A 12186-nucleotide genomic window follows, 5' to 3' on the forward strand; every position below is an offset into this window, starting at 1 on the left:
TACCACATGCTTAATTTGAGGCTTCTCTCCTTATGCTTAACTTTTTAAAATTACTTACTTGTTCATTCCTAGAATACACAAAAAGTTGTTTCAGAAATATCAACCCATACCACAGCTACAAACAAATCTACCAACTAGAATTCAATATTTGTTTACAGTTCTTTAAAGCTTTAGTCTAAGAATATATAGTAAAAATGTTCAAAAATTATTTTTTTAATTAGCTGTCACACTCAAGTGTTATGACTTTATTTATTTGAAACACAATTAGGCTTATGAGTTTCTGCTTCTATTTCAAGTACTCCCCCAACAACTTTGTGGATCCATTATTTACGTTTAAGTATGCAAATCATTAACATGTTTCCAAAGTAAGAATTATACAAAAAGATAACAAAAAAGTATCAGGCCTGCACCAAAATCCCTCCGCTTCACTTTCAAACTCTCCCAAGAGATAAACACAAACATTTGTTTCTGGTTTATCCTTCATGTGAGTGTCCATGGTGATGTTTTCCTGTTTTTTTTCTTATTTTCTCTCTCTTGCACAATAGGTAATATTAAACACATGCTTATATGCCTTTGCACTTTTTTTCACTCAACAATATATCCTAGAATCACATAGTGTCATTTTTCATTACTTGTTGAAGCCACATGATAATCTATTGTCTGGGTAGGCCACAACCGAACTTTCGTACATGAGCATTTGGTTACTTCTGATATTTTGTAATTCCAAACAATGATTCAAAAACCTTGAATAGATCTATTTCGTATTGTTGAATGTGTACTATAGGGTAAATGACAAGAAATTGAATACTGGGTTGAACGTGTACGTAGTTTTGACAGATTTGCCAAATTTTCCTCCGTAAGTGGTGTACCAATTTGTATTCCCACCTGCCACTTGTGGGAATGTCTGTTTCCCTACAGCTTTGCCAACAGAAGAGGTTGTCAAGCTTTGATATTTCCAGTTTGAGAATTTCAAGATGATATTCCAGTGTAATTTCAAACCACATTTCTCTGATTATAAATAAAGTTGAACATCTTTTTGACATCTTTAATACTTTTTATGTAAATTGTTCATTTCTTTGGCCCATTATTATTTAATATTTGAGTTTTTCCCCTAAATTTAAAAGAATTCATTTATAAATAATCCTGAAGAAACTGAATAACTATATGAAAAATAATAAAAATTTTCCCCAAATGTTAAAAAATTTATGTCTACATATACATTACTTACATATTAATATTTATATTAATATACACATATGTATATAAATACAGCTACATATACAACTCTATATGCATATTAATGTATATCATATAGACTTATAGATGTGTAATAGACATTTATACATATTACACATATATGTATATATATTTGCAAGTATATATTTTTCAAATATATATTAGAAATAATATGTTATACATCGTATATAATATGTGCAGTATATATTATGGATAAAGAGTACCATTTGCATATTAATTATAAATTAATAGGACTAATATCTCATATATTGATTTATGATGGACCAATACGTATGAAATATTAGCCCTTTATGTGTGATATATATTATAAATATTTTCTCCTGGTTTGTTATTTCTCTTTTGTCTTTGCTTATAATTTTTTGCCATGCAAAGGTTTTCGTTGTTTTAATCTTATGAAGTTGCATTTAGTTCATCTCCATTTTGACTCAAAATCAATATTCTTTTCTACACCAAGTTTATAAAGAAATTAACTCAGGTTTCTGCTATTACTTTATTACTTTCATGGTTTCATTTTTACATTTAGCTCCCTGATCTACTTGGAGTTTATTTTTGTGTTTAATGTGAAGTGTAAACCAAATTTTATTCTGTTGATATAGTAATCCCATTTCTTCAGAACTGTTTAGAAAATGTTTATATTTCCCTAGTTATTTAAGATGCCACCTATATTCCTGTGTACCTAGGACTATTTCTGGACTTTTATTCTATTCCACTGGTGTGTCTGACTATTCTTGTTCTAATACCACATTGGTTTACTAGATTGTGCTATCTGGTAAGTCTAGTGTCCCTAACTGCTTTCTTTTTCAATTTTTTCCTAATTATTTGTTCTTGTTATTTTGCCATATAAGCCCTAGTAACTAGAAAGTTTGTGATATAGTTACTGATATTTAGTGAATTTATAATTTAAGGAAAGCAGAAATATTTTTCATATGGGTTTTATATATTCCTTGTTAAGTTTATTTGTAAAATTTTTCTTTTTTATTTCTATCGTGTGTATGATTTTCTTTACCATTAAATCCCCTAACTGGTTATCATTTTATTAAGGTTATAGATTTCTTTACGTTATGTCAGCTACCTTATTAAACTCTTACTGTTTGAGTATGTTAGTTTTATTATTGCTTCCCTAAGGTTTCTTAAGAACACTTCCATGTCATCTGAAAATGGTTATTGATTTCTTTTATATAGCTGCATTGGCTATTAATCCAATATTAAATTGTAGCAGATATGGTGGTACATTTTTGTCCTGATCTTAGTGAAAATGTTGCTAGGGCTTCCCCATTTCTTAGTATCTTAAGATGCTGGCTTTATGAATGAGGTTAATGCATTTTATCAGGCTAAGGAAGTATCCATCAATTCATTCTTGTAGTTTTCTTGTTTTGAAATCAGCAAGGAGTGTAGAATATGTCAAAGTTTTTTGTTTTATTTTGTTTTTCTCATGCATCTATGAAGATTAATCATCTTATAAGTGATGTTTTTCTGTAATTTTCTTTTTGTACTGTCTTTATCAAATTGTTAAAGATTTGGTAGAATTTATTTGTGTGTTCACCTAGGCTTTCTCTATTTATTTTATAGAAGTTAGTAAGTTTGGGAAAATAGGCAGCCCTAATATATCATCTATTTAATCTATAAAAGCAGTCAGGCCTCTGTGATCGGTAGGGCCCAGGGCAAGAACACAAATGGAGATCTATATAATGTCTCTAAATATTTCAGAGTTATAAACTAAGCAATAAACTGTGAATAATGTGTTTTGTCTTTCTACTTTGATACATACATCTTCACATGGGTCTGTAAGGCCAAGTTTGAGTTTAGAATTCTCATATTCCTCACTGTTTTGTTCTGGATCATAATGGCATGGAGAATGGCAATCACAACCAACTCATTTGATTTGCTTTTTCTTCTTCCAGTGGGTAGCCACAGTAGATGTGTGTATACATCTGAGACCACATGACCATTGTCTTCTCATGTCACTGTCTCCACAAAGAGCTGCCTATTGTCCATTCCATGGGCAGTTAGTCCTTAGGAGTACTAGCCTGCGATGGGGGCCCCTAGGGTCTCTGGAAATGGGTTTACGTTTATTTGAGCATGATATTTCAGAGTGCAATATACTCAGAGCATGGTCGAGAAGGGGTAACATGGATTTGGTGTGGAAATTCCACTTGGCCCTGTGAAATCCTTGTCTCTTGGAGAGAGGTAAGTCTTGAAGAATGTCAGAGTGGTCCCGTAAGTATAACCAGGCCCTCATACAACCTATACAAGGTTGCCTGAGTCCAAAGGGAGTAGTATTACAGAGTAAAGCAAAATGGTTTTGCCTATCAAATTTGTGTGTTTTGCATTGGAGCAGAAAATGTAAAAAGAAAGAACAAGTTAAAGGGAGGAACAAGCCTTCTCTTGCTAGGCTGACTCACTCCAAGACCTACGATAGGCAGCAGAGCTCTGAAAAGGATTTAATAACATTATCTGCAAAACCAGAGCCCTCAAGGAATGTGCTCTAGAGCCCCCTCTCCTCCCAGTTAGGAGCAAAAAAACAGGTTTTTCTCCTCTCCCAGCTCCCCTCCTTTTTGTAAATCCTTCCTTAGTGAAACTCAAGGTTCCTTCACAAAGTTTTACAGATTCCCGTTTCTCTTCTGTGTAACATAAAAAGGTCACAAGACATGCTTGAGTAAGACAGGTACCAGCTGTAAACCCTGCCTTAGCTTGATAAGTTCCTGTTTTTCCTCAAGTTGCAAAACCTGTCACAGTATGATTAACTGCCTTTGTTCTGCTTCTGTAAGCCCGTTTGCCTGCCCTGTAAGTTTTGCGCCACTAGATGGCCTACCCCCTTGGTTGCATGTATAAAAGTCAAGCCCTGTCTTTGTTCAGGGCTCAGCTTTTTCAATGTGAATCTGCTGGGCCTGAGTGCACTCAATAAATCACCCTATTTCACCTGTTTGGTCTCTCCAGTCCTCTGATTCCTGCAGTATTTTTCTGGGGGCTCCTGTGGGATTGGAGATGACAGGTTTACTGTCTCCTTTGCCTGTGGGACTTGAACCCCAGGCAAGGGGAGACCCATGACCCCTGGTGCCATCAGAAGAACTTCAACGCAGAGAGGAGATTGGCTGTCCTGCAACTCAGTGCCCTTCCCTGATAGTGCAACGAAATCTAAGGGGCTGTAGGACGATTCTTGGGACAGTGTGCTTCAGGACCATGGTAAGATTTGGGGCCCAAGGCAGGACCCATCCCATAAGGATGGAAGGGGAGCCTGATCACTTCCCAGGGTGTAACTAGTAGCTCGACACAGGATGCGAGACTGGCTCGCAAAGTTGGGGAAACTTACACCCCACCCGACCCAGGATGTGAAAGTGGTTTGCAAAGTTGGTCTAGAAAGCAACTGGGAAGTGTGTGACTGCTTATGAAAGAGGCAGTTCCAGGAGGATTCAATGCGGGGAGTGATGTGTGGGGGGCACAGGTCTCTTAGCATAGACTGTACACTCCAAGTGAATTGTGGGACCAACAGGGACTAGCGGTGATCTGCATATGGCTTGGGGAGGTGCCCCACAATTTAGTAATTGTGGGAGATTAACAAACACTTCAAAGCTAAGCAGTGCCTGAAAACTCCTGCGAGGGGGGTGGTCTAATCCGTCTGAAGCAAAAGAGAGAGAGAGAGAATGTGTTGCACTGTAACTGGGAGAAATGGGAGGGAAGTCATCAAAACCCACCCCATTAGAATTCATGTTAAAGAACTTTAAAAATGTTACAAGGGGGATTATGGAACCCAGTTGACCCCCTAGAGGTTAAAAACTCTGTGTGAAATAAAATAGCCTTCTTTTGAAGTCGGATGGCCAGCCGAAGGGACAGTATATAAAGGAACAATTGGCCATGTACATCAGGTAGTAACCAGTGTCGGAGGACAGCCAGGGCACCCAAACAAGTTTCCCTACGTTGACTTGTGGCTAAATGTGGTCCAAAACTAACCTGCATGATTCCAGCCCTGCCTGGTGTCTTACTGCAAGATGCTCGTAGCCCGAGCTGAGCCTAAAGTGAAAGTCAAGTCAGCTTCACCGGCAGCTGTGGAAATAAAGGAGGAATCACCTAAAGGGCAGGAAAAACCACCATTACAGGAGCCACCGGAGGAAACAGAAATCCCTCCTCCCTGTACTCCATTATCCCCCATTTGACGAGACCAATGGCCAGCGTGGAGTCAGATTCAGAGAATGACACACCCCAAGCTTCACCCCAGAGGGAGGAACCAGAGCCCCCACCCCAGGGGGTCAAGGAGGAAACTCAGGACGATCAGACAAGCCGTCTCCAGTCTGGCCGTACTTGGGCTTTGCAGATACCCCTCCAGGAAATACAGGGACCCCTCTATTATGATGAACATGGCCAGATTCAAAGGGGGCAACAAACCTTCATTTATCAGCCTTTCTCGATCACTGATCTCCCCCTCCTACACGGAGAAGACACAGGCCCTCATAGATCTAATGCAGTCCATCTTCCTGACACACAATCCAACCTGGCCAGATTGCAAGCAAGTCCTTCTAATGCTGTTAAATACTGAAGAGTGCTGAAGAGTGACCCAGGCAGCCCTCCACTGGCTAGAAGCCACTATGCCGGAAGGCACACTTAATGTCCAAGCATATGCTCAAGACCTATTCCCAGAAGCAGACCCTCACTGGGACCCAAATGATGCAACCCAGTTTCAGCACCTGCAGAAGTACCAAGAAGCACTTCTGCAAGGGCTAAGGGAAGGCGAAAATAAGCCAATCAATTTAGGAAAGATCTCAGAAGTGCTTCAAGGAACTGACTCTGTGAGGCATTCAGGCTTTACACTCTGTTTGACCTTGAGGCTACTGAAAATCAGTGCATGGTAAATAGAGTGTTTGTAGGACAAGCCCAGGGAGACATCAGGCTGAAGCTGCAAAAGCCAGAGGGTTTTGCAGGCATGAATCCTACTCAGTTTATAGAAGTAGCCACCAAGGTGTACGTCAACCATGACCAGGGGCAAAAAAGGAAGCTAATCAGAGACTTAGGAAAAAGGCTGATCTGCTTGTGGCAGCCCTCATAGAAAGAGAAACTGGCATCACCAGGGGATGCAGACGTGGGCACAGAAAGAGAAACTGGCATCACCAGGGGATGCAGACGTGGGCACAGAAAGGGCCAGGCTGGGCAGAGGACTGGAAGCCCACCAAGGCTAGATAGATAGGAATCAATGTGCACAATGTGAAAAGAGAGGACACAGGAAAAATGAGCATCCAGAGGACAATGAAGAAGATAGCCAAGGCTGTGAGACAGGCCACCAGCCAAGGGCTGCCACACCCTGAGGGAACCGGATACCAACCTGATCATGCTGGAAGGGACTGGAGGATATGAAGACTAGGCCAGACCAGGCTCCATCACCATAGGCCCCCAGGAGCCCATGGTCACAGTGGAAGTGGGGTGCCAACTGGTGGACTTTATGGTAGACTCTGGGGCTGAACATTTGGTGGTGACCTAGCCCATAAGGCCACTATGCAAACACCATACAACTATTGTTGGGGCTACAGGGGTCCTAGAGAAAAGGCCGTTTTGTCAACCAAGGAGGTGTGTCATAGGAAGATAAGTCCAACATGAGTTCCTATACTTCCCAAATTGCCCAGTTTCCCTGCTGGGAAAATACCCACTCCAAAAACTGTAAGCACAGATTGCTTTTGGGCCACAAGTAGCTATGACTTTAAACCTGACACTCCCAAAGGCCATGGTAATAATCCTTACCATCCCGCAGACTGACAAATGGAGACTATACACAAAAGAGTCACCAGAACCAGGAATAAATGAACTGTATGGGCTACTTAATAAAATTCCTGGAGTATGGGCTGAAGACAACCCACCTGGGCTGGCTAAAAATCAGGCACCAGTAGTAGTAGAGTAATAGAGTAGTAGAGTTGAAACCAGGGGCAGTTTCACCAGTTCAGTTCAGTTTCACCCCAGTTCAGTTTCACCAGTACCCGTTTTTCCAAGAAGTCATATGGGACATTCGCAAACACTTAGAGCAACTCTTCAAACATGGAATCATAGTCAAATGCCAGTCACCCTGGAACACTCCTCTCCTGCCGGTACAGAAACCATCTGGTGAATAGAGGCTGGTGCAGGACTTATGTGCTGTGAATGAGGCTACAGTGACCATCCACCCAGTGGTACCTAATCCATATTCTTTAACGGGACTTATTTCAGCAAGTGCTGTCTGGTTTGCTTGCCTAGACCTGAAAGATGCATTCTTCTGTCTTCGTCTGGCACCAATTAGCCCATCTTTGCATTTCAATGGAGCGAATTGCAGTTCACCTGGACAAGACTCCCACAAGCACTCAAAAACTCTCTCACAATCTTTGAAGAAGCACTGGCTTCAGACCTCAAGGCCTAGCCAAATGACAATTGTGCCTTGCTGGAATATATAGATGACCTGCTTCCAGCAGACCCAACCCAAGAGGACTGCCTCCAAGGAATCCAAGACCTCCTCCACCTCCTGTGGAAAGCCAGATATAAGGTGTTCAGAAAGAAGCTCAAATCTGTTCCAAAAGAGTCCAGTATTTAGGCTTCGAAGTGAGTCAAGGGGAATGATAGCTAGGCAGTGAGCCAAACTAAGCTGTTTGTGCACTCCCAACTCCAACTACCCAGCATCAAATAAGATAATTTTGGGGGACAGCATGGTTCTGCCACATTTGGATCCCAAATTACTCACTGATGGCCAGGCCTTTATATGAAGCCACAAAAGAGGGGGAAGGGAACCCCTACTCTGGGAGGCTGACCAAGATAGGGCATTTAAACAAATCAAAGAAGCCTTAACCCAGGCCCCAGCCTTAGGACTTCCTGATCTAACTAAACCTTTCTTTCTGTATGTCCATGAACAAAAAAGAATGGCAATAGGGGTCCTAACTCAAGTCATAGGATCATGGTATCATCCGGTGGAATATTTATCCAAGGAATTGGATCTCGTGGCACTAGGATGGCCTCTGTGCCTTAAACCACTAGCTGCCACAGCCCTACTGGCACAAAAAGCTGACAAACTAACCCTGGGACAGCAACTGACCATCCAGTACCATACTTGGTTATAATTTTAATGGATCAGAGAGGACACCATTGGTTATCAAATCTGAGAATGACTCAATACCAACAGCTCCTATGCGAGAATTCTCCCATAACTCTAGAGACAGTAAATACCCTAAACCCAGCTACCTTGCTCCCAATTGAACTGGGACCGGGAGCCCCGCTTCATTGTTGTGTAGATGCAGTAGACGAAGTATTCTCAAGCCAGAGGGATCTCACAGACCAACCCCTCAGGGATCCAGATGTAGAATACTTTACAGATGGAAGCAGTTTTGTACTAGAAGGGGTCTGACAGGCCAGGTATGCAGTAGTAACATTAGACTCAGTGATAGAGGCTCAGTCTGTCTACTGGAACATCAGCCCACAAAGCAGAGCTAATAGCCCTGACAAGAGCTCTCTGGTGTCAAAAGACAAAAAGGTCAATGTCTATACAGATTCCAAATATGCCTTCGCCATGTTGCATGTTCATAGGGCTATATATAAATAAAGAGGACTCACAACTGCTGAGGGTAAAGAAATAAAATATAAAGAAAAAATTCTACAGCTTTTAAATGTAGTATTGGCCCCAAAGAAAGTGGCAGTTATACTTTGCAAGGGGCACCAAAGAGCAGGAACACTAGAGGCCAAAGGAAACAGAAAAGTGGACAGAGAGGTAGCAATGGCTACCCTACATTGTGAAGAGGAAGCCATAGCTTTACCTCTCCTCCCAGAGCCTCCGCTTCTAGAGGTCCCAAATTATTCTCCAAATGAAAGGGCCTGGTTTGCCAAAGATACTGGAAGTTACATTAAAGGAGGATGGTGGAAATTCTCCAATAGGAGGCTAGCCATCCCTGAAACAGTGGCCCCTAGATTTGTGAAGCAATTCCATCAAGGAACTCATATAGGAAAAACGGCACTAGAAACACTACTGGAACATCATTTCTATATGCCACGGCTCACTACCATCCCTCAAGCTGTTTGTGAACAATGTCTAATCTGTGTCCAGAATAACCCATGGCAAGGGCCCACTCAGCCCCCGGGAATTCAAGAAATGGGAGCCACACCCTGTGAAAACCTAGTCATGGACTTTACTGAGCTGCCTCGAGCAGGGGGCTATTGGTATATGTTAGTACTAATCTTCACCATTTCAGGATGTGTTGAGGCTTTCCCCACCAGAACAGAGAAAGCACGAGAAGTAACAAAAGTGCTAATAAGGGACATTATCTCTAGATTTGGACTGCCCCTGATTCTGGGGTCAGACAATGGGCCTGTATTTGTAGCTGAAATAGTTCAAGAACTAATATGACTGTTAAAAATAAAATGGAAATTACACACAGCCTACCAGCCACAAAGCTCAAGAAAAGTAGAACGCATGAACCAGACACTCCAAAAGCTACTGAAAAAATATTGCCAAGAAACCCATCTGAGATGGGATCAGGTCCTTCCCATGGTTCTTCTCCGAGTCAGGTGCACCTCCGAGTCAAGCACTCTATGAGATCTTGTTTGGCCAGCCACCCCCAATCATAGGTCAAATTAATTGTGATCTCCGTGAACTAGGGAAATTATCCTTGAGAAGGCAAATGAAGGCTTTAGGAATAGCCATGCAAGAAATTCATGGCTGGGTATGGGAAAGAATGCCCATAAGCCTGACAGACCCAACACACCCCTTTAAACCCAGGGATTCAGTTTGGGTTAAAAAATGGAATCCAACCACTTTGGGACCCATATAGGATGGGCCCCATACTGTAATCTTGTCCACTCCCACAGCTGTTAAAGTTGGAGGAATTTTACCTTGGATCCACCATAGTCAGCTGAAACCAGCAGCCCAGAACTAGTGGACCAGCCAACAGGAACCAGACCATCCCACTCGGCTGATCCTACGGTGAGACCAGGTTGCCAATGGAGCTAGCAACTGCCTTGCTCTGGTCCTTCTGGAAGCTGACCAATCTACACACAGCTGAAGCTTGAGGTGACAACTGCCCTGCTCTAGTCACCCCAGGAGCTGACTAGCCTATGCACAGCTGAAGCTGGAGTAAAGTCATGTTGTTAGAAATCTTAGGTCTAATAGTTTTCCTTGTAATACTAGTTGTTTTTCTATTGTTCTGCCACTTTAGTCAGCCTCCTCCACCAGGAGAAAGCCTTTTCTGTCCCTGCTGGGTATAAGTATGTCACTCTTTACCTTGTTCTTACTAATCCCCTTATCTATGTTAAAAGGAGAACTCTTGGAAGGATTTGAAGGATGCCCCCAATGTACTCATACTACACGGTCAGGGAGCGCTATAACGAGAACTCTATTGTACCATACTCATTATGAGTGTACTGGAACCCACCTAGGAACCTGTACTCACAATCAGACCACCTACTCAATCTGTGACCCAGGGAATAACTAGCCTTATGTATGTCACTATATCTGTACTTTAATATCTGCCAGGCAACATTTAAAGACTTCATTGCCCTGTAGCAACCTGTGGTATAAATTAAGAACACCCCTGCTTGCTCCACTTGGGACTGTGCAACATTGGCCACTAAACAAAAGCAGGTCATGTTTACCCACATCCAAGCAGACCTAAACTGTAAAACAAATGCTTGCAATCTTGTAAATTTCAAAATCCTGAAGCCAAATTTACAAATATGGACTACAGGAATAGGAGCACCAATAGGACATTACTATTTAACCAAGAATCCAAGGGGAAAAACTATCTTAAAAAATAATTTTCTATGTATTATAAAGAAAGCTCGGGCCTGTTCAACCCAACAATTCTGAGTTTTCAAGTCATTCTATAAGCAGGTCAACCAGAAATTGCCTGAACCCCCTCCCATAGCCAAAAAACTATTCACCCAACTGGCAGAAAGCATAACCAGCAGCTTGCCCATCTCTTCATGTTACGTCTGTGGGGGAACAAACATGGGGACCAGTCACCATGGGAGGAAAAGGAGCTAATGCCTCAAAGTAACTTTACTCTGACCATCCCCTCCCCCGAACCAACACTCACAAGCTTGAGCACCTGGCTCTTAAAAACCTCTCTTATCAAGAGATTCTGCATTGTGCACTGGGGAAAAGCCTTTACAGACCCAGTAGGAGAATTAACTTGCCTAGGACAGCAATATTACAATGAGATACTAGGAAAAACTTTATGGAGATGCAAAAAGAATGACTCCAAATCACCGCACCCAGGCCCATTCTCCCGTTTCCCTTCTTTAAACCACTCCTGGTACCAGCTTGAAGCTCCAATACCTGGCAGGCACCCTCTGGCCTCTACTGGAACTGTGGGCCACAGGCATATTGACAACTGCCAGCTAAATGGTCAGGGGCCTGTGTACTTGGAACAATTAGGCCCTCTTTCTTTCTAATCCTGCTAAGGCAAGGGGAAGTCTTACGGTACCCCATCTATGATGTAACTAAAAGGAAAAGCAAGAGGGGCATAACCACAGGAGACGGCATAACCATAGGGAAGTGGAAAGACAATGAATTGCCCCCTGAAAGAATAATCCAATACTATGGCCCAGCCACCTGGGCAGAATATGGAACATGGGGATACTGCACCCCTATATATATGCTCAACCACATCATAAGGTTACAGGCAGTACTTGAGCTAATTACTAATGATGCTGCAAGGGTCTTAAATCAGCTAGCCTGGCAAGCTACACAAATGAGAAATGCCATCTACCAAAATAGACTGGCCATCAACTACCTCCTAGCTCAAGAAGGAGAAGTATGTGGAAAGTTCAACCTAACTAATTGCTGTCTAGAGATTGATGACAACAGAAATGTTGTCAAACAATTTTGGATTCTGCCAGAATCCAGAAATTAGCCCATGTCCCAGTGCAGACTTGGAAATGATGGTCTCCAGATTCACTCTTTGGAGGCTGGTTTTCATCTCTTGAAGGATTTAAAAC

General features: G+C 42.1%; 1 long non-coding RNA gene across 2 annotated transcripts in view, besides 1 other annotated feature; it reads right to left on the minus strand.

Moving 5' to 3' along the window:
* Window positions 1-12186, minus strand: part of LINC02755 (long intergenic non-protein coding RNA 2755) — a 258473-nt gene that overhangs the window by 179041 nt on the left and 67246 nt on the right. Inside the window, exon 3 of one of the 2 annotated variants that reach the window (NR_183753.1) lies at window positions 5206-5298. The exons of the other annotated variant lie outside the window; for it this stretch is intronic. This is a non-coding gene — a long non-coding RNA (long intergenic non-protein coding RNA 2755). The remainder of the gene's footprint in view (window positions 1-5205; window positions 5299-12186) is intronic. 2 annotated transcript variants of the gene reach the window in all.
* Window positions 3879-3948: an enhancer, noted in NCBI's record as "active region_4553". NCBI's record gives its function as "activates an Ori minimal core promoter by ATAC-STARR-seq in GM12878 lymphoblastoid cells {active_cell/tissue: GM12878}" and the evidence as "EXISTENCE:reporter gene assay evidence [ECO:0000049][PMID:35858748]".

Source organism: Homo sapiens, chromosome 11 (genome assembly GCF_000001405.40).
Source record: "Homo sapiens chromosome 11, GRCh38.p14 Primary Assembly".
Lineage (NCBI taxonomy): Eukaryota > Metazoa > Chordata > Mammalia > Primates > Hominidae > Homo > Homo sapiens.